This window comes from Homo sapiens, chromosome 3, assembly GCF_000001405.40.
Source record: "Homo sapiens chromosome 3, GRCh38.p14 Primary Assembly".
Lineage (NCBI taxonomy): Eukaryota > Metazoa > Chordata > Mammalia > Primates > Hominidae > Homo > Homo sapiens.
The window spans coordinates 40,060,768-40,088,562 of record NC_000003.12 but is presented as its reverse complement, the minus strand read 5'-3'; the positions used below and the strand labels follow the sequence as shown (position 1 = coordinate 40,088,562).

General features: G+C 40.5%; 1 protein-coding gene and 1 long non-coding RNA gene across 7 annotated transcripts in view; one reads left to right on the top strand and one right to left on the bottom strand.

Moving 5' to 3' along the window:
• The window catches only part of MYRIP (myosin VIIA and Rab interacting protein), a 451,408-nt gene that overhangs the window by 171,759 nt on the left and 251,854 nt on the right, over positions 1–27,795 (bottom strand). The window lies entirely within an intron of this gene.
• On the top strand, positions 4,658–27,484 carry LOC124909367 (uncharacterized). The gene is made up of 2 exons (XR_007095875.1): positions 4,658–4,875; positions 22,988–27,484. It is a non-coding gene; the product is annotated as an uncharacterized LOC124909367 (long non-coding RNA).

Below are 27,795 nucleotides of genomic sequence, written 5' to 3'. Positions count from 1 at the left end.
TGAAGGGTAGGAACCTCATCTATTCAGGTCTGTGTCTTTAACTCAAGCATGGTACCTGGCACAGAGCAGGCACTGGGCCAATATCAGCTGGATGAATGAATAAAAGCTGATTAACATTCAGGATATATTAGGGTAACAATTCCTGGTTTCCCAGTAATGGAGAGATCCACAACTCTGTCCCTCATAGTTGTATTGACTGATCCTTCAGCTTATGTTCTTAGCTCCAGTCCTGCTCTAGGTTCTGAGCCAGTTCTGACTAAAATAAGGAGTGCAGGTTCCCAAGAACCACAACCATCTGAACAACTGAGAAAAAAATTCTGAGGTTTGGAGACTAGTAAAGACTGATGAGTTCCAACATCTGTCCCCCCTCCCCTCCTACCCCTACTTGCTGCCAATCAAAGCAGGTGCCAAAAGCCTTGGGGACCCCTGCTGTCTTCCCACAGCATCACTGCTTATTGGCTCCCAGGTCAACCAGCCCTTGGCCTGGGTCTTGTTCTTCATGGCTGCCCACCTTTTTCTGCACAGAGCCTGGCACTTCTGCCAGCCTCCTTCCTGGTGACTGGGTCTTGCTCCCTCTCCTTTTTATAGCATAGGGTCTCCTGTCTGTCCCCACTTACAAACACAAGACAATGGTGTAGTGAGGCACAGGCATCTTTGTGCCCCAGCAGTGGCACCCCTACCTGCCAGCTGGTCACAGAAAAAGTGATAATCCCTAGTGCAGTCTTCAATCTGAATCTTCCTGTTGTTTCTTGGAAACACCCTACTCCACCCCACTCCACCCAGTCAGTGGTATGCTGAAGCAGACTCGTTCTGGATCCAGAGAGCTCTCTGTGTGCATTTTTTCCCAGCTCTGTATTCAGTGATGACATGTTGGCAGCTTAACAATGTACAAGGTAGTAGTATTTACATAGTGGAAATCGGCAAACACTACAAATCAAAGCTTTCTTTTCCCCTGGAGAACTAGTTAAACATTGGCTACCATGCCACTGATCACAGACTAGCCCTCTTGCTTTGGCTTCTTAACCTATTACATTCACACTAGATAAATGCCCTCTGTAATAGAACTAAAGCCTGGTCTCTCATAACACACTCCCTTCTTGAAGCAGACATTTCAGTTTGTATTCTTTGTTCTGTTGATCTACTTAGCCATCTCACTTCCCAGTGATAACAATAACAACAGCAGCAATAATAATAGGTAACATGTATCAGTGCTTACTCCTGGCCAGGGGCAGGGCTGAGCCCCTTGCATGTGCCTCTCACTGAATTTCATCCACAGCACTGTGAGGCTGGGACTGTTACACTCATCTGACTGAGGAGAAAGTGTGGTTTTGGAGCTTTGTCCAAGGGCAGATGGGGCTGGTGTCAGAATCCACACTAACTCAGCCACACCACTTCCTCATGATAGCCACACTGGGTTGCTTGCCTCACTTCTTCTTGGGACCTCTCTCCAAGGGTACAATCATATCTTTGTTCATGTCCAGCAACAGTTGCTGTGGTAATATGTTCGCCCACGTAGCAGTGGCATGAGAGGAGCTAACTGATAATGCCTTCTGGCATATTATGAATTCCCCAATCACCCCCAGCATTGTCCTGGTCATAGGGCATGGCGCTGGCTTCCCTTGTTCCTACCCCAGAGCTCTGAATGCCAAGCAGCCGCAGTGCCCACCCCGAGAACCGCTTGCTGCTATGTACTACCTGCTGGAATGTGGGGGGCCATGGCTGTCAAAACCTCTTCTCTGAACCCAGTTCTGGAAATTGGGAGCACCCACCATTCATTAGAGGTCCCCTGAAGTAGGTACTGGGTTACCTTGTTTATTCCTCCCAGCATCTCCCTGAACCAGCATTATCTCTGATGCATAGTGGAACTGGAGGACAGAAAGTAAGGGGCTGAGCTAGGATTTAAGCCTGGAATGCCTGCTGATAGGGTTGGTATTCTTTCTGCAACACCAGAGGTCCTGAGTGTGAGGCAGGAGGCAGGTGTCTAAGCAGCCAGGAAAGCCAGCTCACACCGCATGTCCTGAAACCTGGCGAAGAGCAGCAAGGTCTGCCCTGGTGGCTCTCACCTGGACTCCTAGGCTGAGTTACGGCCCCTCCTGTGTTGGAGGAGCCTGCCCGAAGTGCGAAAACCCCTCTACCACAGTCTTCCCATCCCTCCAAAGGAAGCCTCTACAGAGGGAAAAGCAAGTTCATTAAGTATGTTTTCAGGTGGCTGCCAAGAGTAACTGAGGTTACTTACAGAATCACATCCATTGCTTCTGGGTAGTTTTGGAACACCCTGGTTTGAGAGGACCTTTCAGACCGTGAGAAGTTATTGTCATGGAGTCTGGACTGGGGCTCTGCTGGGAAGATGCAGAACTTTCCAAAAGTTTGTAAGAATTTTCCTAGATTTTGAAAATTCTTTAGCAGTTTCTTCTGCTACTGTTTCTTCTAGTTCTCATTCCTTTGTTTCTCTTTTCCTTGCCTTCCTGTGGGTGAAACATTTTTTGGGATCCCATCCTAATTTATTCATAGGGTTTTTTTTACTGTATTTCTTTATATACTTTCTGTAGTGGTTGCTCTTGGTATTATAACACATATCTGTCCCTTATCACAGTACTGTGTGTACATTTTTCCACTTTGAGTGAAGTATGAAAACCTTATTTTCATTTAGGTTCCTTTGCCTTTCCCACTTTTCCATATGATTGTCTTGAATGTCAGATGGGGTTATAATTTTTGTTTCGGTTACCAAATATGATTTATAAAACTCATGAGGAGAGAGATAGTCTATTTTATGTACCCATATTTTTACTCTTCCATTGCTGCTGCTTCCTTCCTTCCTTTCTTCTTCCTTCTTGAGGACACTATAAGCTTTTTCGATTCTTTCCTTACCCACTAATTCCTAAGTACTCCCTTGCTGGGGCTGCTCTGCTCCAGGATGCCTTCTTTTACCATTTCCTCCCTGAGGAAGTTCTTTAGCCACTCTTTAAAAATATATCTGCTGGCTGGGTGTAGTGGTTCATGCCTGTAATCCCAGCACTTTGGGAGGCTGAGGCAGGCAGATCACCTGAGTCAGGAGTTCGAGATCAGCCTTGCCAACATGATGAAACCCCGTCTCTACTAAAAATACAAAAATTAGCTGGGCACGGTGGTGGGTGCCTGTAATCCCAGCTACTTGGGAGGCTGAGGAGGAGAATCACTTGACCGGGGAGATGGAGGTTGCAGTGGGCCAAGATCGCGCCACTGCACTCCAGCCTGGGTGACAGAGTGAGGCTCCATCTCAAAAAAAGAAAACGAAATATATGTATGTGTGTGTGTGTGAATTATATATAATACATAGACACATATTATCTGTGGATATATAACACATAGACACATATTATCTGTGGATATATAACACATAGACACATATTATCTGTGGATATATAACACATAGACACATATTATCTGTGGATATATAACACATAGACACATATTATCTGTGGATATATAACACATAGACACATATTATCTGTGGATATATAACACATAGATATATATCTATCGATATATAACACATAGATATATATTATCTATCGATATATAACACAGATATATATTATCGATATGTAACACATAGATATATATTATCTATCGACATGTAACACATAGATATATATTATCTATCGACATGTAACACATAGATATATATTATCTATCGACATGTAACACATAGATATATATTATCTATCGACATGTAACACATAGATATATATTATCTATCGACATGTAACACATAGATATATATTATCTATCGACATGTAACACATATATATTATCTATCGACATGTAACACATAGATACATATTATCTATCGACATGTAATACATAGATACATATTATCTATCGATATGTAATACATAGATATTATCTATCGATATGTAATACATAGATGTGTATTATCGATATATAATACATAGATGTGTATTATCTATCGATAGATAATACATAGATGTGTATTATCTATCGATAGATAATACATAGATGTGTATTATCTATCGATATATAATACATAGATGTGTATTATCTACCGATAGATAATACATAGATGTGTATTATCTACCGATAGATAATACATAGATGTGTATTATCTACCGATAGATAATACATAGATGTGTATTATCTACCGATAGATAATACATAGATGTGTATTATCTATCGATATATAATACATAGATGTGTATTATCTATCGATATATAATACATAGATGTGTATTATCTATCGATATATAATACATAGATGTGTATTATATATCGATATATAATACATAGATGTGTATTATATATTTTATATATTATATATTTCTACATTTTACATATATAATATATATATAATATTTATGCCAATGACAAACTTTTAGTTTTCCTTCTTCTGAGAATGTCTTTTTTTTTTTTTTTTTTTTTTTTTTTTGAGATGGAGTCTCGATCTGTTGCCCAGGTTGGAGTGCAGTGGTGTGATCTCGGCTCCCTGCAAGTTCCGCCTCCCGGGTTCACGCCATTCTCCTGCCTCAGCCTCCTGAGTAGCTGGGACTACAGACGCCTGCCACCACACCCGGCTAATTTTTTGTATTTTTCGTAGAGACGGGGTTTCACTGTGTTAGCCAGGATGGTCTTGATCTCCTGACCTCATAATCCGCCCACCTTGGCCTCACAAAGTGTTGGGATTACAGGCGTGAGCCACCGCGCCCGGCCGAGAATGTCTTGATATTCCTTTCCTTCCTGAAGGAATGTTTCCCCAGATAAGGAATTCACAGTTGACCATGCTTTTCTTTCAGCACTTAAAAAATATTGTGCCACTTCCTTCTGGCCTCCATGGTTTGAGATGGAGAACTCTGCTGTCACCCTCATTGATCTTTCCCTGTAAGTAATGCATTGTTTCTATGTGCTTTCAATTTTTTTCTTTAGCCTTTAGAAGTTTAATTATTATTTGTCTTGGCATAGATCTGGATGTATTTGCTTTTCTATGTTGTGTACCAGGTCTGGTATCTAGGGAGTCCAAAAGGCAGAGACTCTTCTCTGATAATTCAGTATTCTTCTTCCCTTTGCCCCTTACCACCTATACTATGCTTTACTATTACTGAAGATGGAAATTAAGATGAAGAGAAGGGGAAAAAGGAAGAAGGAAGAATAAGGAAGAAAGCAATCTTAGCCACATTGGGCCCTCCAGGACTGTGCTTCTTCCCTTCTGGCCTCCAACACTGACAAATCTACCTTTGTCTAACCAGCTCCCCAATCCTTCAAGAGGAACTATAATGCCACATCTGTCATCCCTACTGTCTGAATGAAGACCCACTCACAGCATTAGACTTTCAGCATTCCCTGACTGGAATCACACAATAATCTGTTTGTTCCTTCTCTAGGCCATGAGCCCCACAGACATAGAATTATGCCTGTTTTGTTCATATCTGACTCCCTAATTCTGGAATACAGTGCACAGCAGCCACTCATTAAATAGGTGTTGAATGAATGACTAAATTCCTGTGAGCTCCCTCATGAGCTAGCAAGAGATTTTGTTTTCTAATCTTGGCTAAACTCAAATGTCCGTTAAATGTAAGATAATGCTCAGCTTCTTTAAATTTGGCTCCCCACTCGAATGATCCAATATTATTCTGGCCTATTTTACGGGTAGAAGCCTTGATTTTCACCTGATTTTATCTTATTAAGTGTCTTATTACAGAAGGAGTTATGGGACCATTTCCCGAAATTTATCTGCAAAAGAAATGCAGTTGCCTTCATGAGCATCGAGATGAAAAATGTATCCATTACACATGCCATTTCCTTCATGATTAGGAGGCCCATTTAAAGGAGCCATATCAGGACGGTGAAAAAGTTAGTTTCTGTTTTTGTTTTTCCTCAGCCATTGTAATTAGCAATAAGATTTATGCTTTAAATAATCTGGTAACTAGGCCCTAATGAGAATTATAAAGTTCCTGAGTTCTATGCCTAATGATCACAGGAAAAGCACACAGAACACTAAATGCTAGAGAGATGATTTGTTGATTTCTGGCCCAGAAAATAAATAATCTTGGAGTTCATTATTTTGGGTAATTAAATATAAATTAAGCCATTAATGAAAAACTTTACATGAAAAAGACAGGTGTATGAAATTTTGAATGTGATCAATTGAATGTAGACTTCTCAGACTGGCAGGGAGCACTGATTTCAGCCACCAGCTCCCGCAATGGTGAGGTTCATAAATGCCAGGCTGATTCCATATCTTGGCTCTTGTGAGTAATGCTGTGATGAACATGAGAGTGCATTTATCTCTTTGATACACTGATTTCAAATTCCTTGGACATAGATCCAGAAGTGGAATTGCTGATCACATGGTAGTTCTATTTTTAGTTTTTTTGAGAAACCTCCATATAATTTTACATAATGGCTATACTAAATTACATTCTCAACAACAGTGTACAAGGGTTCTCTTTCCTCCACATCCTTGACAACACTTGTTATCTTTTGTCTTTTTGATAATGGCCATTTAGTAGATAAAGAAAATGTGGTATATACACATAATGAATGCTATTCAGCCTTAAAAAAGAAGGGAATTTTGTCATTTGCAACAACATGGATGACCCTGGAGGACATCATGCTAAGTGAAAGAAGTCAGCACAGAAAGACAAATAGTACATGATCTTGCTCATACGTGGAATATAAAACAGTAGAACTCATAATAGCAGAGAGTAGAATGGTGGTTAGCAGAGGCTGGGATGGGGGCATGGGGAGATGTTGGTCAAAGGGTACATAGTTTCAGTTAGACAGAGGGAATACATTTTTGAGATCTACTACACAACATGTTGACTATAGCTAATAATATACGTTGTATTTCAAAATTGCTAAGAGAATAAATTCCAAATGTTCTCACCACAAAAAGTGGTATGTGAGGTAATGAATATATTAATTAGTTTCATTTAATTATTTTACATTGTATACATATGTCATAACATCACATTGTTAGGTTGTCATTAAAAGTAATGGCAAAAACCACATAGGATAGGCTATATAGCAGATTAAACACAACTTGACAGAATTAGTAAAACGAAGGACAGATGTAAACAAATTATCCAAAATGCAGTGCAGAGAGCCAAAGTGAAAAAGAAATATATAGCAATTCTGAACTTGTATGTACCTAATAACTTGACCTCAAAATGCATAAAGCATAAACAGACAATTGCAAAAGGAAAGAGACAAATTATTGTTAGGGTAGATTTTGAAATGCCTTTTTCAGTAATTGATATAACAAGCAGTCAAAAATTGAGGAAGAATATAGAAGATTTGAGCAGCACAATATCAAGCTTGATCTAAAGATCATACATAAGACACTGTACTCAAAAATTCATGAATATATATTCTCCTCAGGCACCTGTGAAATACTTAGGAAAGTTGACCATAACATGGGCAGGTAAGTCTAAATACATTTCAGAGAAGTGGTATCATACAGGCCACAGTCTCTGAGGACAATGCAATAAAGTTTGAAATCAATAGCAAAAAGACAATTAGAAAAACCTCATATTTTGTTAATTTAAAAATGTGTTTTTAGATAACACATAGGTCGAAGAAAAAATCAAACTAGAAAAGAATTGAATGATAAAAAGACTACATCTAGTTACTATGATATATAAAGAAGAATTTAGTGAGAAAAGAAGAAAGACTGAAAATAAATAAGCTAGGTATCCATCATCAGAAATTAGACAAAGAAGAGTAGAAAAAGCCCAAAGAAAGTAGATGGAAGCAAAAAAAAAAAAAAAAAAAAAAAGAAGTTAGGATAGAAAACAATTATTCAGTAGAGAGAATCTAGCAAGTCAGAAATTGGTTTTTTGAAAAGAGAAAAAGATAACTCCCATCTTAAAAAAGAAAAAAAGAAGGTATAAATACTAACAGGTATGATACTAGAGATGCAGACAGATGCATACACACTTAGAGAATAAGATGATATTATAAATAAGTTTGCAAATTAATTGGAAAGTTAGATAAACAAATTCCTAGAACCTGTTCCTTACTAGAAACCAACTCAAAATAAAATATTATAAATTAAGGAACAACTAATCTAATTTTATATACACTTTTTTTCTTTTTTTAGAAAACAGGAAAAGAAGGCATAGCGCCTTACTCAATTTATGGGGATAGTGTAACATTAATACCAAAAACTAAAACCTGACCAAGAAGAGCAACAGATTTGAAAATTATAGGTCAATCTCACCTGTGAACATAGGTACAAAAATATTAATAAATATAAGCAGAGTATAAAAACACAATACACAACCAAGCTGGGTTTGTGCCAGGAATGCAAGTTAGTTTAATTTTTAGAAAACTAATTAATATAATTCACCAAGTTAAGGGAGAAGGAAAACTATCCACTCATGTTAAAATCTCTTGGCAATGTAGAAATAAAAAAGAACTTCTTGATTCTGGAAAGGAGCTTTTAAAACTCCCTACAGCCAATCTCACACACACTAGTGAAATGGTAACAGTATTTCCCTTAATATCAGGACCTTTCCAAGGTTGTTAGTGATGACTAACATGTTATTCAGCTTTCACTGGAGATTTTAGCCAGGGCAATAAAACAAGAGAAAGAAAAGAAATGTATAAGGAAGGAAGAAATACAATTGTTTTAATATGGTAAAATTAGTTTCTTAGAAAACCTTGAAAAATCTGTATATAATTAGAATTAATTTTTTAAAAGGAATCACATATGCTTCACAGATAGTCAAAGTTATTTTGTATTGCAATGGAAATATCTTCTCTCATGCAATGCTGTGAACAATGCTATACTTCCAGCTCCCTTGGCCCCAGCCTTCTGAACTTGGCTAACTGGTATGAGTTTATAGCACAGTTTAGCCAGCATACATGCATTTTCAGATCCTGTGTTGGTTTTTGCAAAGGCTCTTGGAATGGAATGTTCAAGAATCACACAAAAAGAATGCACCTAGGGAATGCATGGAACTTCGACATTCATTGCTTTCTTGTGTACAACGAGGAAAAGTCCTGATTGTTTTAGCACTCATGTGTGCTCTGAAAGCTGAATGTACCTACTTTAAGGTTAAGGTCTGGGCTGTCTCTGACAGAGGTGTGAGCTGCCAACAGGACTCTTTAGTCCAGTGGATTTAACGGCAACTGTCCCTGATGAAGCTGCACTTCCCTAATTCAGCGTAACAACTGTGTAGGTCACAGGCCCACTAGACACTAAAAAGTTAGAAATATAGACCAAAGATGGCTTGTCTGTTAGTGAAAGGGGCCACCTAACTATTAAGATACCACATAGCCCAGTTGCCCAGGATAGCCTTGGTATGGCTATCAGTCCAGTGTAATGAAGGGTGCTCCCTTTTACTCTCAAGTGTCTAAGAAGGCTTAAATGGTAAATCGTGTGATCTTCGAACAGTCAACTTCTAAGTACCACATTTAAAATCCCTTCATCTCTACTGACAACAAGGGAGCATATTTTTCTAGCTTCTCTTTCCTCTTTCTGGGGTTTTCACTGCTAAATTAGGAAATCTAGTCCTTTCCCCTTCTAACATCCATCACGTTACTTGGCCTCACCTCCAGGATTAAGGAGCTCCAAATGATGTGGAAATGAAGTGAAACTGGAGAAGGAAGAGGGTCTGGAGGGAGTCGGTTTTGTGGTCTCTGAGCATATTCCACTTTCCAAAAGAACTCCAAATCATGTTTTGACAGGTGGAAGTCCCAGCACTCCCCTGTCTCCTTCAGCAGAACGGGCAGTCTGTGGCATCTCTTAAAATAGGGCTCTTTTCTCCAGAGCACAAGCCAATTCTTGGCAGAACAACCTGCCTGCTGCAGCATAAGAAGTGATTTTACAAGTGCTAATCTGGGAGGCTTGGGGGTGAGGAAAGGAGAGGAGACCACTAGTCTCTCTTACCAGCAGTTGAGGAGCCTGCAGGAGGCTCGTCCATATATAAACTTTGGGAGGAAGAGAGTCTTGAATTCAGCAGTGTTTGGGATAGGTACACTCAAATTTCTAAACTGCATTTTAAAATGTGGTACCAAAATCACAATTCCAAAGGGCTCATGGTTTTATCCTCTAACTGAAATGAGAAAGTCATACAATAGTGAGAGGTGACAGCGTGCTGGCAGTCCTCACAGCCCTCGCTTGCTCTAGGTGCCTCCTCTGCCTGGGCTCCCACTTTGGCGGCACTTGAGGAGCCCTTCAGCCCACCGCTGCACTGTGGGAGCCTCTTTCTGGGCTGGCCAAGGCCAGAGCCGGCTCGCAGGGAGGTGTGGAGGGAGAGAGGTGCGAATGCGAACCGGGGCTGCACACAGCGCTTTCGGGCCAGCTGGAGTTCCGGGTGGGCGTGGGCTTGGCGGGCCGCACTCGGAGCAGCCAGCTGGCCCTGCCGGCCCTGGGCAATGAGGGGCTTAGCACCCGGGCCAGCGGCTGCGGAGGGTGTACTGGGTCCCCCAGCAGTGCCAGCCCACCGGCGCTGCGCTAGATTTCTCATCGGGCCTTAGCTGCCTTCCCGCGGGGCAGGGCTCGGGACCTGCAGCCCGCCATGCCTGAGCCTCCCACCCTCTCCATGGGCTCCTGTGTGGCCGACCCTCCCCAACGAGCGCCACCCCCTGCTCCACGGCGCCCAGTCCCATCAACCACCGAAGGGCTGAGGAGTGCGGGCGCAGGGCGCAGGGCGCGGGACTGGCAGGCAGCTCCACCTGCAGCCCCACCTGCAGCCCCGGTGCGGGATCCACTGGGTGAAGCCAGCTGGGCTCCTGAGTCTGGTGGAGACGTGGAGAACCTTTATGTCTAGCTCAGGGATTGTAAATACACCAATCAACACCCTTTGTCTAGCTCAGGGTTTGTGAATGCACCAATCCACACTCTGTATCTAGCTACTGTGGTGGGGCCTTGGAGAACCTTTATGTCTAGCTCAAGGATTGTAAATACACCAGTTGGCACTCTGTATCTAGCTCAAGGTTTGTAAACACACCAAACAGCACCCTGTGTCTAGCTCAGGGTTTGTGAATGCACCAATTGACACTCTGTATCTAGCTACTCTGGTGGGGCCTTGGAGAACCTTTGTGTCCACACACAGTATCTAGCTAATCTGGTGGGGCCTTGGAGAACCTTTGTGTCCACACACAGTATCTAGCTAATCTGGTGGGGATGTGGAGAACCTTTGTGTCTAGCTCAGGGATCGTAAATGCACCAACCAGTGCCCTGTCAAAACAGACCACTAGGCTCTACCAATCAGCAGGATGTGGGTGGGGCCAGATAAGAGAATAAAAGCAGGCTGCCCGAGCCAGCAGTGGCAACTGGCTCAGGTCCCCTTCCACACTGTGGAAGCTTTGTTCTTTCGCTCTTTGCAATAAATCTTGCTACTGCTCACTCTTTGGGTCCACGCTGTTTTATGAGCTGTAACACTCACCGCGAAGGTCTGCAGCTTCACTCCTGAAGCCAGCGAGACCACGAACCCGCCAGAAGGAAAGAAACTCCGAACACACCCGAACATCAGAAGGAACAAACTCCAGACGCGCCACCTTAAGAGCTGTAACACTCACCGCAAGGGTCCACGGCTTCATTCTTGAAGTCAGTGAGACCAAGAACCCACCAATTCTGGACACAATAGTACATGGTAAGCTGTCATATGCAATGAAAAAGGGTTAACTATGTTTCCTTTTTCTAACTTAAAAAATAGCATTAGAGTTCTGAAATACAGAAAATTATGAAGAAAAAGGCCATAATCTCTGGTGTTGTAATTTTTTGCGTGGGAGGGTAAGGTAATACTTTCACGTGGTTTATGTCACAGAGCCTGCCAGCTGACCACCAAAATCCCTTCTACCCCTTTTTTCTAGAAACAGAATTTTAGCCATGTGGCTGCCAGTCCCCCTTTGAGCTAAGCATGAGAGGGTGATTATGCTCTTAACAATGGAATGGGAGCACATATGATGTGTGCCTGTTTTGGGCCAGGCCCTTTGTACAGAAGGTGGTCCTCCTCCATGCTCTCCTCCCCTTCTCAGAGGCTTAAACCATAGATGGCCTGGGCATCAACAATTAGATGATAAAGCCCTAAGGCACCTGGCTGCACAAGAATCTTCTGGAGTAAATATTAGTGCCTGTGCCCTGGCCCAGTGATTCTGACTTAATTGATATGGTTTGTGGTTGGGCAATGTGATTTTTTTCCAAAGCTCTGCCAAGGATTCTAATATGCAGTCAAATGTAAAAACTATTGCCCCTAGGGGATGGCAGAGCTGTGGGGCCTTGAGTGACTGTATGGAACATATACATACTGGCCAACCTGGAACACTCTCCTTGGACTTCCCTGAGAAAGATAATTACTTTTCTGTTCTTTAAATCACTACATTTTGGGAGTTTCTTATTTTTATTTTTTGAGACAGGGTCTTGCTCTGGTGTCCAGAGCAACACTGGAAAGCAATAGTGCAATCACAGCTCATTGCACTTCAACCTCCCAGACTCAAGTGATTCTTCCACCTCAGCCTCCCAAGTATCTGGGACTACAGGCATGCACCACTATGCCTAGCTAATTTTTGTATTTTATTTTATTTTTTTAGAGATGAGGTTTTACCACGTTGGCCAGGCTGGTCTCGAACTCCTGGGCTCAAGTGACCCACCTGCCTTGGCTTCCCAGATTGCTGGGATTACAGGCGTGAGCATGCCCAGCCTTTGGGGTTTCTTTGTCATCACAGATTAGCTTTCCTGACAATACAGTTAGGCAATTCAAGGAATACAGACAAAACTGTAAAATGAAGATGACAAGTCTCTTCCCCTCCACATTTAAGTATTTCTATGCTTTTCCCCCACCCTCCCTGTCTCCTCATTCCCTCATTTACTCCACCCCCTTTCTTCTACAGAAGAGACCATACTACACACTGGCCTATGTCCTGCATTTGTGCCATTTAATAATAATGTATAATAATTAATATTTACTGAAAGATTATTCTGTGGTGGCACTGTTCTAAGCATTCTATTAAGTTATTTAAATCTAACAATAGCCCTCTGAGATGGGTACTACTGCACACATTTTACTCAAGAGGATTGAGGCACAGAGAGGCTGAATAACTTGCCTCATATTACACAGCTAGTAAATGGCAAAGTTGGGATTTGCACCCAGGAGGTTTGGCTCCAAAGCCATGCTCTCGCCCTTCTCCCATCAGGACAGGTGGATCTACTTCAGTACTTCATGGAATGGATGTCTTAATTTTTAAAACTAGTCCTTGATTAATGAACATTTATATAGTTTCCAGTTTTTCTTAGGCATTAGAAACAATGCTTTAATAAGTACTACTGTACTTATTTGTATCTTTGCCACTCTTTTGTAAGTTGGTCAAGTTTAATGAATATTTAGAATTGGAAAGTATGTGTAAACTGTCCTCTAAAAGTTTGCACCACTTATCTTCCCAGTAATTGTGTGATAGATTGCCTGTTTTCCCATATACATGTATCAATACTGGATGTCATTAAACTTAAATGTTTTGTTAATTTTATAGATGAAAAATGATTTTTCATTTTTGTTGTATTACTTCAGTTATAAAATATCTTTTCTTGTGATTTCCTTGCCTGTAACCTACTTATTTCACATGTCCTTTTTCTATTTTAGTATCTTTGTTTTGTATTAACTTTTATAATTTTGAGGAAACTAGCTCTTTGAATTTGTATCATATGCAATGGAAAAGAGTCTTAATTTGCAGTTTTCCTGATAACATATGATGTGAAATATCTTTTCATATGCTTATTTGACATCTACGTATCTTCTTTGGTAAGGTGTTTGTTAAGGTCTTTGCTCTTTTAAATTAGGTTGTTTTCTTATGGTTGAGTTTTAAGAGTTCTTTGTATATTTTGGATAGCTCCTTTATCAGATGTATGTTTTGTAAGTATTTTCTCCCAGTCTGTGGTCTGGTCTTCTCATTCTCTTGAGCTTTTCTGCTTAAATTAATTAATTTCTGCTTTCATCTTTTATGATTTCATTTTTTCTGCTTTCCTTGGGTTTATTTTACTGTTACTTTTTGAAGTTACTAAGTTAGAGGCTTAGTTCACTTTTCGTTCTTCTTTTATATTAGTAACATAAATTTAATACTATAAAATTTCCTCAGAGGACAGATTTAGGTGTGCTCTATATTTTAATTTTAATATGTACCATTTAAATTTTCTCTATTTCTTAAAAATTTTGCAAATTCCTTTGTGAGTTTTTCTTTGACATAAGAATGCATAGGTAGGAGTTTCTGTCATGCCTGTAATCCCAGCACTTTGGGAGGCCAAGGTGGGCAGATCTTGAGGTCAGGAGATCGAAACCATCTTGGCTAACACGGTGAAACCCTGTCTCTACTAAAAACACAAAAAATTAGCCAGGTGTGGTTGTGGGCACCTGTAGTCCCACCTACTTGGGAGGCTGAGGCAGGAGAATGGTGTGAACCCGGGAGGTGGAGCTTGCAGTGAGCCGAGATCGCGCCACTGCACTCCAACCTGGGTGACAGAGCAAGACTCCATCTCAAAAAAAAAAAAAAAGTTTCTAAATATTCAAGCAGAAATATTTCAGTCTTAAAATGTGCTACAGACTAAACTACTAGTTGCTAAAGGAGTACAAGAATGGAAAGAGTATTGGGTTCTAATTCCAGATTTCTATCAACTACAGTGATTGTCATGCTCTTCTTTGGACCTCAGATCTATACAGGTAGAGAGTAGAATTGAAAGGTCCTTAGTGTTAGAGTAGGCAGATAGCTAGACATAAGCAGTAGGGGGAGCCCCTGGGGGCGAAAGCTCTGGAAAACCTCACGCCTCAGAGACCAACCAAAACATGCTGCTAGATATGAGCAGAGAGGTGGGAAACTACCTATGCAGAAAGGAATGTTCTGAAACGTCCCTTAAGATGCCCAGTAATCACTTACTCTGTAATTAACTTGTCAGAATATAGCTACATGCTAATAAGAAGGGCAAAAGGGAAATTTCTAAGAGATACGCAGAGGCAATAAATACAGATTTGACTGCTAAAGAACCTTCCAGGGATGGTGGTAATGAGCAACACCGTCATTAGGTAGGATTCGTATTGATCACTGAGCCCCGCAGCATGCGCATCAACAGAGAGTAAGGCAGAATCCTACAAACTTCGGCAGGAACTAGGTGGGGACAAAGGTGGAGACTTAAGACAGAATTGGGAAACCAGATAAGCAAAGTCAGAGACTTGAAACAGAGGCAGGAAGAGTCCGACATAATAAAAACCCGCAGTGCAGAACTCTTGGGGCTGCTCCCAGCCAGGCCAGCCCACTCTCCCACTCTTCTCTTGGAGTGTACTCTTATTTCCTTAATAAACCTTTTGCTTACTTTACTAATTGGTCTCTTGGTGGAATCCTTTCCTCCAAGAAGACAGGAACACAGAACCCTCATACTTCTGGTAACATTAGGTTCAATCTCAGTTTTTAAAACCTACCAACTCATGTAGTTGTGAGAGTCAGGATAATTTTAGCTTCTCCTTCAATTTGTAACCAGTCAGAATTTTCTCAGTAAAAAGTTCTAATTTCTCTTGTACGTTCTATCAAAATGCCAAATGAGAAAGCAGGTCCCAGCCCTGGAACTCAAAATATGAATATTTTTAATATACCTTTTTCAAAAATGATGCAACACATAGATTAAAAGATCATAAAGAATATAGGAGAATGTAATATCATTAATAAACCTTGCCTATGGATGGATGGATATCTGTATCTCTATTTATGTCTCTATATCCAACAACTGCACAATATACATTTTTTTTTAAAAAAGAACACACCATGTTTACGAGAACTAGCAGTATACTGGACCACAAAGCAAGTCTCAAAACATTTCACAGGATTGAAATAATACAGAAGAGTTCTCTGATATCTATTCAATTAAGTTAGAAATCAATAATATAAATATAACCAAGACATCTCCACATGCTTGGAAAGTTTAAAAACACACTGCTAAATAACCCACAAGTTAAAGAAGAAATCACAAAAGAAATTTGAATATATTTTGAATTGAGTGACAATAAAAATATTACACATAAAAATATATAGATGTAGTAAAACAGTATTTAGCAAAAACTTACTTTTTAAAATGCAGGCTGGGCGCGGTGGCTCATGCCTGTAATCATAGCACTTTAGGAGGCCAATGTGGTTGGATTGCCTGAGGTCAGCAGTTCGAGACCAGCCTGGGCAGCATTGTGAAACCGTCTCTACTAAAATACAAAAAATTAGCTGGGTGTGGTGGTGTGCGCCTATATTCCCAGCTACTCAGGAGGCTGAAACATGAGAATTGCTTGAACTCGGGAGGTAGAGGTTGCAGTAAGCCAAGATCATGCCACTGCACTCCAGCCTGGGTGAGAGAGCGAGACTCTGTCTCCAAAAAATAAATAAAAAATAAAAAAATAAAATGCATATAATACAGTAATAAAGGTTAAAACTTAGTGCACTAAGCACCTATCTTGATGCTTGCCCCAGGCAAGCCCTACAGCCTACTTTCTGCATCCGGCCCCTGAGCCACTGAATAAACTGCAGAAAAATCACACAACCAAACTGGGGGGTTTCCCATTAAACAAGCACCACAGACTTTGAATGGCATGCCATTCTGACCAGAGATTCCTTTGTGTTTGTCTAGCAGAGAGTCTGGCCCTCATTTCTACTCCTAGGTTCAGATTTAGGTGTCCCAACCAGAGAACCGGCCAGCTCCCTCGTGACCCTGCAGGTGCTGTGCCCTGTGAAAGGCAAGAAATGATATCACCATGCCACACCCCAAAGCAAATAACCAATACATGACCAATAAAATCCTTGTTTCCTGAGACAACTCTTTTATATGTCCTGTCTTCTCAAACTTCCAAACTACCCTCTGTGAGAAAATGAGGCACCAAGTGGGAGTACCTCATCTCTCCACCCCAACCTCCCCAGCATCTGCATCCTGCTCGCAAACCTCTGAAAATACTGGGAACATTCCCTTCCATCAGAAGCCAGGCCCTCACTCCTGCTCTGAGTGAGTCCCAGCTCCTTAGATTCCTAAAAGCCTCACACCTAGAGTTGACCCTTGTGCCCCAATCATCAATTGCTCCCTTTCTACTGAATCGTCACACATGTTCTAAAATCACACATAGTAAATAAACTGTCAGCCTCTCCTTGACCCCACAACTGTCCCAGCTTTTACCCCATTCTCTATGGTCAAACTCCTGAGAAGAGCCATCAGGATAGACTGCATTTCCTCATCTCCCATTTTCAGCTCGCCTGTTTTCATTCCTGACCTGCCATCCGTCCCAACCACCAACCAGTGCACCCCATATAATTGTCTGAATCCCCTGATCCAGCCATCTCTCTGATGGCTCACATTCTGACCCCAACTCCAGCAAGATTCTTAGTTTACCCGATGGGCCTGAGGGACTTCTGCATCCAGGAGATTACGGTAGGGAACAAGTCAGGTCAGAACAAGTCAGGGAGATGGCTCCTACTGCAGTTGAGGACATCAAAATGACTCTCTTCTTCCTGTGCTTTCTTCCCTACCACAGATTCTTATGTCAAAAGGCAAATGCATCTTGCTTTGGCTTTGCCTGACATCTTGTGTGACTCACTCCATGTGGGAGGTCTCACCCAGGCATGGGGAGCCATCAGTCTGTTGGTTTGTGCTTTAAGGTATATGGAGCTCACAATAATCCACCACATAGAATGCCCTTGCTGGGGGAAGACACTTTTTAGATGCCCAACATCTCTCAGAAGCTGGACTGCAGAAAATGATATGTAAGGATGTTAAAGGACATGGAGCCTAGATTTCTTGCTCCTGAATCTAGCCTGATCATCAAAAGCAGCAGTCCCCAGCCTTTCTGGTACCAGGGACTGGTTTTATGGAAGGCAACTTTTCCATGGACCAGGGTGGTAAGGGGGTGGATGGTTTTGGGATCAGGCATTAGATTCTCATGAGGAGCGTGTACCCTAGATCCCTCGCACACACAATTCACAATAGGGTTTGTGCTCCTATGAGAATCTAATGCCATCGCTGATTTGTTAGGAACCAGGCTGGTTCCTAACAGCTTGCAGACCGGTATCAGTCTGGGGGTTGAGGACCCTTAATCAAAAGCACTAGGCTATGATTTGTAATCTCACTGAGGGTAAGAATTATACCTCATTTGCCTTTGTAATCCATGCTCACAGGTGACTTGGTGAACTATTGTTAAATGACTGTATAAATGAACAATGTCAATATAAGCCATGCTTCCTTGGCCTCACTCTCAGGCCTTTTTTAGAGCTCTTGTGGAGTTACGCTTTTTAAGGAGCAGTCCTGTGAAATACTATGAGGCCATTATCAAGGATACAGTCCCCCACATTAATGTTTCCCTGCAAAGAATGAAAGGGAGAAAAATCTTTCAGAATTAAAGTGCCCTGAAATACTTGCTTTGCTTGGAAGTCAGTATGTTCTCTATAAGAATTATGTAATTGATCAAGTATTATGTTCTGTTTTGGGCATTAAGGGACCCAGATATAAATGTGTGGTCCAATGTCTGAAATTGTGTCATTCACAGCAGGGTGCATTTTTGAATTATACTTAGTTTATATTTTTCTTCTCCTATTTAAAAATTTATGTCTATGTATCTTTTCATGTTAGTAAAGGTCTCTTGGAAAGATACTGCGAACCACTTTAAGCATAAGCTGGGGTAAAATTTAAATGTTTAAAATGTATTTGGTAAGACAGGGGTCCCCAACCTCCAGGCCATGGACTGGCTCCACAAAAGCTCAGTGGCAGCATTAGATTCTCCTAGGAGCACGAACTGGTTGTGAACTGCATATGGGAGTTTCATTCTGAAACCATCCCTCTCCGCACACCGTAAGTGGGAAAACTGTCTTCCATAAAACCCGTCCCTGGTGCCAAAAAGGTCGAGGACCACTGTTGTAAGACACAAAAGGCAAACTACTGTATGATTCCACCTATATGAGGTACCTAAAGTAGTCAAATTCAGAGACAGAAAGTAAAGTGATAGTTGCCAGGAGCTGGGGGAGGAAAGGAATAGGGAGTTACTATTTAACGGGCATAGAGCTTCAGTTTGGAATGATGAAAAATTTCTGGAGATGGATAGTGATGGTTGCACAACAACATGAATGTACTTAATGCCACTGAGCTGTACATTTAATAATGGTTAAAATATTCAGTTCTATGTTATGTATATTATATCACACTTTAAAAAGCAAAAAAAAAAAAAAGTATCTTGCGAAATTTGGCCTTGAGGTAGGTTGGATTAGAATCTGTTGTGAATTTTTGTTTTAGATGAAATAAGCACATGAAAAGTACCTGAAGAGTCATAGTAAATACAATGACAGTAAAGATAAAAAGTAGGTGGTGGTGCGTAGCTTCTGTACAACCACTGCCAGGATATGGGGGGAGAAGAGATGTGCAGGTGCATCCCCAAAACATGTGGTGACATGTTTCTCTCCCAAAGGAGTAGTGTTACTGAACCCACTTCTGAGACTACAATCCTTTTGTCCCATGGGTACCAGCTACCAATCTACTCATTTATTTAGAAACACAGGACCATACTACTACTTATTTAGAAACACAGGGCAAGCCAGGCTTTGTTTCTTAGATGTGTTTTGTGTCTTAATACAATAAGGGAGTGGGTGAAGATGGGGCTGTGCCTGGGTTTTGTAGCTGGTGACGCAGAGCAGTGTTTTCAAGCCCAGTGTCCACAAAAGCATGATGAATTCACAGGCTTTCTGATGGCGTGCAGTGGATATGAATGTTCCGCCCTGCAACTGTCAATACAAGCCTGAACAGTGCTCTCCATGGGAACATGTAAAGACAACATGCTAAAATATAAATGACAAATGGGGAAACGGGTTAGAACTGAAGCCAGGGATGATGTACCTTTTCCTCTTGTTTACCTCTCTGGCTCAGTCAATCAATGTAGCCCAAGAGGGCTGAGACTGGGGAGTTCTGTTCCCTTTTCTTGTGCATAACTTGAATGTAGTATCCTTGATTTGTATGTGTTTGATTCCATTTCATATCTCCGTAAGTTGATAAAAAGATTAATGAATACAGTATTTTGTATAGAATTGCTGTTTGGCTTTCAGGGCTAAATAATTTTTGCTGGAAGAAAACTATATACAATACATCCTTAGTGTAACTCTGGTTCCAGCTTCACAAATCTGACACTATATCCTCAACCATCTCAAGAGGCTAATAAGATATTTTAAGGAAGCCAGAGAAAAACATCCAAAGTCCTGGAAATATTTAACTCACCTAGAGCAAAACATTGTTTTACTCCCAGAAAAGTAGTTAGAATTTTTTAAATGAGAGAACTTGACATTGGTGTGTTTGTGCTGAAAGTGATATTTATTGCTGGTGGCAGAATAAGTTCATGTAATTTTGTGAGAAAGCAACATAGTACTATTTAAGAAGAGCCAAAAATATATACATTCTTTGAACCAAGACTGCTACTTGTAGAGTTTTTCTTAGGAAAATAACCAGAAGCAAAGGATATCTGTACAAAGGCATTCATGGGAGCACTGTCTATAGCTGCGAAATAAAAATGAGAGAAGAAACGCCCAATGTTCAAAATCATGAAAATGGGTTAATACATTGATACAATATCATGATAGACTATTAAATATGCATCTCAATAACTATGGCTATTGTATAGAAATATGGATAGGAGTTGATGTATTTATGTAAAATGGTAGTAAAAAGAAGACATTACCATTTAAAATATGAGGTTATATGGATGATAACACGTAGAGATGACAATAACTCTATCAAGGTGATAGGATCATGGGTGATTATTCACAATGCCTGGCATCTGATAAGCACCTTATAACTGTTAGCATTGAAAATGTTACCATCTCTTAGACCTCATTTCAGGGTATCTCGTGCGTACCAGAAACAGAAGTTAACTTTCTTGTGGACTAGCTCCTTCTACACCAGTGGAAAAGCTAACTAGGTCTTTCTGGGTAGAAATAAGGCCTATCCTTCATTCTGAGTACAATACCTAGCTTGACTCAGGAGATCCTCACCCTCCTCTGTGCTCACAGAAAACCCACTCAGTAGAGTCTACTGTTGCCACTCAACAGAACCCTCCTGGTATTTTGGAGGGAACAGATCTTCTTGGCCTGCGACTGGCCCACATACTGCAGGATGCCTGGCCCCACTGCACCAGAGGTCAGTAGTAACCCCAGTCATTGTGATAATCAAAATACTCTCAGAAAAGATATTTATGAATGCCCTCTAGACAATTAGATTGAGCCCCTGAAAACCACTGAGTCTTTCTCCCACCCAGACCTCATTCTTGCTTTACAACTGCACACAGCCTTTGCTCAAATCCACCCATGGGTAGGTAAGTGATGCATTTCTTCCTGAATGCTTGCTTAGTTCACATAATTTCTAAATTGCAGATGTGAGTCTAGTTCTCTTCTGGGAAGCCTAGAGTTAGAATCATTATTTACTATTCTCAACTTTAATAATCTCTGACAATCAATAGCAAATGCTTATTTATGGCCTAGTTATAGGAAATTTTTTCTGAAAAGTCATTATAGGTTTATGAATAACAGTCATTGTTTTCTTGATTCTATATGTAATAAATATTGATAGTAAAAGCTTTGGAAACTATAGAAAAGCAAAAAGGACAGAAAAGCAAAAAGGACATAAAAGTTGCCTTCTACATGAAGAAATACCAGCTTTTAAATTTAAACATATATCCACAAATATGTCACTCATTCACATATTTTCATTCATGTTGTAGTATAGAGGGACAGTTGGTAAGATTGTGCTAAACACAAGGGAGCAGGAATGTGAACTGCTGAAAACACCCTAGACAACTTATATTTTAATCATTCATTTGCTCCTATAACATAACCTGCAGCCTTATCCAAGTGAGCAGACTATATTAACTGTAAATTACTTGGAATACAGAACCTTCTCTGTAGTAAGAGTCCATTGAGTAAATTTTAGGATTTCAATTCATTAATAAAAAAAAATTCAACCAGGATATATGAGTCAGTAATCTGACATACATTCAAACTAGAGGTACAACCTTAAGGGAATCACAGCTTTTCATTTGTGTCAGGAGTTTTAAGTCATAGACTAAAATTGTTATTAAAGTGTTGAAACCAGTACTCATCTACAACCTTAATTCTACCTTAAGCAAAAACATTGCCAACACCCTCTGAACAGGAGTGGGGATGCCACATAAATAAAGGAAAAAAAAAGTTTTCTTCAGATCTCAAGATTGCTTTGTCCCCCAGAAGTGCAATTTGAGGAGAGGTTCCCCTTAACATATCAGGATGGTCTTAATGGACCCCAGAAAGTTTGCAGTCTGTGCATATCAGAACTCCCAAGACAGAATCTTCCATATTCACCTGATACAAGGGCAGTAAAAAGTTGCAAGTTGGTGTGGGGAGGGTGGTGCACAGCAAAGGACTTCCTGGGCTCATCAGAGAGGTCTCCTTCTCCTCCTCCCACCTCTATTTCTCTGAAATGACGAGCAACACTGAAACCCTAAATCCAACTCTTCTTCCATTATGGCCTCCAGGAGGCTGTGCAGAAGGTGTGGGGTCCTTCTTCGTCACAGCAAGGCCTATTTTTCCTAGAGTTCATGGCAGGAGCAGATCTGAGCTATCAGTACAGCTAAGGCATCACTCATCCATTTCTCCAGTATTGGCCCCACCTAAAACAGTTGGTGGACTGAGAAACATAGTCCAGGCTCTGAGACTTCAACTCCACATTTGCTAAGCATCTACAGTGTGCCAGGCATTGTGCTCGAGCTGTGTTGGGTACAAAGATAAAGAAGACCAGATCCTGCCCTTCAGGACATGGTAGAATGAGGTTCATCCATGCATTGAGATGGGGGACAACAGAGCCACATGCCTCTTCTGGGTGTAACGACATAAAATGGAAGATTAATTAAATGCTTTCTAAGATTAAAGCATCTACCTCTTGTTTTAAAACTGTCACCTTCTCACTGATGCCCATGTCACATGCCTATGTAACATCTTCCTGTGTATTTGTCATTGTTTATATCTCTTTCTAAAGTCACACCAATGCCAATTCCAGACTAACATCCTGAAGCTCCAGTTTTGAGGGGTGCAAGCTGCAAGACTGATATCAACATCCACCAAATACCACTGATGAGTGGCAAGTATTAAAAAAACACAGAAAATCCCACAGCATGTTGTGGGTTGAATTATGCTTCTTCCCTCCCCAGAAGAGGTAAGTTGAAGTCCTAACACTGAGTAGCTAGAAATGTGACCTTATTTGGAAATAGGGTCATTGAAGATGCACTTAGTTAATGTGAGGTCATACTGGAGTAGGGTGGACCCCAGTCCAATATGGGTGTCATTATAAGAAGATGGTCAAAGGCCGTAGGAAGACAGAGACACACAGGGAGAATACTATGTGATAACGAAGGCAGAGGCTAGAGTTACATGGCTCCAAGCAAAGGAGCACCAAAGGTTGTCAAACCACCAGAAGCTGGGAAGGATCAAAGGATGATTCCTCTTACAGACTTCAGAGAGAGCATGGCCCTGCCTGCACCTTGATTTCAGATTTCCAGACTTCAGAACTGTTTTTTAACCCACCCAGTTTGTGGTACTTTATTATGGAAACCCTAAGAAATGAGTACGCAGGGTTAAGGTTACTCATCTGTAGGGAACGTGGAAGTTTGTGGGTTATTACTCTCGAAATATCATTTAACCAAAGGTCACAGTTATCCAGTGTTCCCCTCCTAGAAAGATGCTCCTTTGACACACACACTATGGTTTCCCATCGCTTTTAACAGGGTGAGGAATTAAGTCCCAGGATGAGGATTTTCTTCTCAACTCAACACAAGCTCATTTTATCACTTTTTATAAGCAAGACCAACACCTACCTTCATGGGGCTGTAGGAGCCCCTGCTAATGAAGTCAGGAGAACAGATCATCAGCTCAAGGGACAGAAACGTCAACTTCACCCAGGCATCCCAGGACCTCCGTGGCTTCAGGACACTGTCCTTGCCTGTCTTGCTATAGAGCAGTGTTTCATAACCTTTGTTTTACATTGTTGCCTTTTCAGACATTTTCCCCCTAATTACCCCCTGGATAAAATTTTAATACCACAGTTATACTGTCTACCTTAAGCACAACAGAGTGGGGATATGAACTGCTGAAAACACCTTAGACAACAACTTGTATTTTAATCATCCATTTTCTCATATAGCATCATCTGTATATATGTCTCTGCTTTATAGATAAAGAGAGCAAGGTTTTTTTTTCTCCCTCCAAAGGCCACTTTTTGCCCCCTTAGAGGAATATAATCCTGTTGAGAAGGCACACCCTAGAGTCCAAAATCTGGGTTTGGATCCTGCTCCTGCCCTTACTTGGAAAATTACCTTGGGTAAATTACTGTCTCGGTGAGCTCAGTTTCCACAACTGTAAAAGGGGGGTACTGTCCACCTGACGGGACTACATATAATAAGGTGGAGAATGTTGACACCTAATCAAGATTACTCTTCTCCCATCTACTCTCTGCTTGCAGCCTAGATTCAGCCCTCAGAAGTTAGTCTTGCCTAAACTTGGCCCAGGCTTTCAAGTCTGCCCCTTCTTGCTCTTTACTTTATATAGCCTGCCCTTCCCTCCTGTTCTCACCTGCTGTACACTCTTCTCATGGAAGTCCAGCGCATGCATCCCTTCCCCTGGGACACTTGTCATGTTGTTGCTCTAGCCACTGGGCTCCCTGAGAATTTTGCAATCTCCGGCAGAGCACTCTTTACTCCTCCACAACCACCCATGCACAGACCTTTTTCCACAAAAGCTTCCATAAGCATGAATAGTGATCAATTCATCTCTTTAACCTTGACTATTAATGTAGGCCTGGGAACTTGCTGAAAGAGTGAACCAGTTGTTTTTCCTTATAAAAGAAATTTCAAGGAGATCAAAATTCCCACCTGGTTTGTTCCCCCAACATAACTGTCATGTAAGCTATGCAAATATGCTTCAAGAAGAAAAGAGGAAAAGAATATTACAAGTAAAACACAGACCAACAATTTCTACTTCCAAAATTATATACAAAGATGCAAGTGAAAATTTGAACAAACCATTCTCCAGAAAATTGTTGATGGGCAGTAAGCAGTTGATAGTACTTTAGCATAGACCTTTTGTATAGGTCAAACTCAGTAAGCATTCATAGAAGAAATAAGTAATAAATATGTTGCTTTACTACTGGATATGTCAGTGTGTATTTCCAAGAACAAGGACACTCTCTTACATAAACATGGAAAATGATCAATTCAGGGAAATTTTAAATTACTACAATACTATTCCCCTACTATCCATAAACAAATATTTCCAACTGTCCCAATGTCCTTTGTAGCTATATTCCCCTACCTTAGGAGTTGATCAAGGATCAGGCAGTTCATTTAGCTGTCATGTCTCCTTAGTCTTCTTTAATCCAAACATTTTCTCAGCCTTTGTCTTTTGTGACATCAACATTTTGAAAAATTTAAGCCAGTTTATATATATGTATTTGTTTGATGTTTCCTCAAAATTAGATTTATACTGAAATTTGGACAGGTGGATTGTCTCTCATGGTACATAAGCTTCACACCAACATCTCCTAAATCTTTTTTTCCTTCAAATTCTTTAATCTAGTCAAGAGATTTGGCAGTTGTACAGCTTTTCCACTAAACAGCCCTGTGTAACTTGGGATTTTTCAGGCACACAGTAACTTTCTTTGACTTGCTACATCTTGGTGTATAAAGACATCTCAAGAGCTAATTATCCAAGGTAAGGTAATGAAAAATGGCACACGATGCTACCAGCACAAATAACTCAGTGAAGTGATCATTTCAATAATAGATATTTTTCACACAAGGCCAAGTCAACAAATGAACAGGCAATTATATTTACAATTTATTTTTTCCACGGTGCCTGGCAAGTATATTTTTGAAGACCCATCCTGATTTCAGAAACGTTAAAATGTAAAGCACAGTCATTTTATAATCAATTTAATAGAATCCAGAGTTAACCTTATCTGATTATTAGTCAAAATTTGGGTGCCCATGGATTTTGTATGGGTCCTCCTACACATTACACATATTCTAGAATTTATGTTTTATTTAAAATGAAATATATTTGATACAATATTTATACTAATCTTTTAATATCTTTTAATGTTGTCTTTCTCATTTTAATAATAAGTAGGGCTTTCAGAACTAAGGCTGCACACCTATGACCATCTGATCTTCAACAAAGCTGACAAAAACAAGCAACGGGGAAAGGACTTCCTAATCAATAAATGGTGCTGGGATAACTGGCTAGCCATGTGCAGAAGATTGAAGCTGAACCCCTTCCTTGCGCTATATATGAAAATCAGCTCAAGATAGATTAAAGAGTTAAATGTGAAATCCAAAACTATAAAAACCCTGGAAGACAACCTAGGCAATACCATCCTGGACACAGGAACAGGCAAACATTTCATGACAAATACACCAAAAGAAATTGCAACAAAAGCAAAAATTGACAAATGGGATCTAATTCAACTTAAGAGCTTCTGCACAGCAAAAGAAACTATCAGAGTAAAGAGTCAATCTACAGAATGGGAGAAAATTTTTACAAACTACGCATCAGAAAAAAGTCTAATATCCAGCATCTATAAGGAATTAAACAAATTTACAAGAGAAAAATAAATATCCCCATTACAAAGTGGGCAAAGTTCATGAACAGACACTTCTCAAAAGAAGACATACATGTGGTCAACAAGCATCTGAAAAAATCCAATATCACTGATCATTAGAGAAATGCAAATCAAAACCACAATGAGATACCATCTGACACCAGTCAGAATGGCTATTATAAAAAGTTAAACAAACAAACAAAAAACAACCCAACAGATGCTTGTGAGGTTGCAGAGAAATGGGAACACTTATACACTGTTGGTGGGAGTGTAAATTAGTTCAGTCATCGTGGAAAGCAGTATGGCAATTCCTCAAAGAACTAAAAACAGAACTACCATTCAACCCAGCAATCCCATTACTGGGTACATACCCAAAGGAGTATAAATCATTCTACCATAAAGACACATACACATGTATGTTCACTGCAGCACTATTCACAATAGCAAAGACATGCAATCAACTTAAATGCCCATCAATGACAGACTGGATAAGGAAAATGTGGCACATATACACCATGGAATATGATGCAGCCGTAAAAAAGAACAAGACCATGTCTTTTATGGGAACATGAGTGGAGATGGAGGCTATTAGCCTTAGCAAACTAACAAAGGAACAGAAAACCAAATACCACATGTTCTCACTTATAGGTGGAAGCTAAATGATGAGAACTCATGAACACGAGGAAGGGAAAAACAGACACTGGGGTCTACTGGAGGGTGGAGGGTAGGAGAAGGGAGAGGAGCAGAAAGATAACTATTGGGTACTGGGCTTAATAACTGGGTAATGAAATAATCTGTACAACAAACCCCTGTGACAGAAGTTTACCTGTATAACAAACCTTCACATGTACTCTTGAACCTAAAATAAAAGTTAAAAATGAACACAAAATTGTTCTTTCCATCAAAAAGTAGGGCTTTTAGAAATGCATAATATAATGAAGTTTTTAATCAAATATGTCAATAACAACATCAATATGCATATCCTGTTGAATTATAATGAAAGCACATCCAATTCAATTATGAAAACCTATACATTTTTATTTTGCTTCTTTAATATAAAAATATCTAGGTCGGGCGTGGTGCCTCATGCCTGTAATCCCAGCACTTTGGGAGGCCGAGGCAGGTGGATCGCCTGATATCAGGAGTTCGAGACCAGCCTGGCCAACATAATGAAACCCCGTCTCTACTAAAAA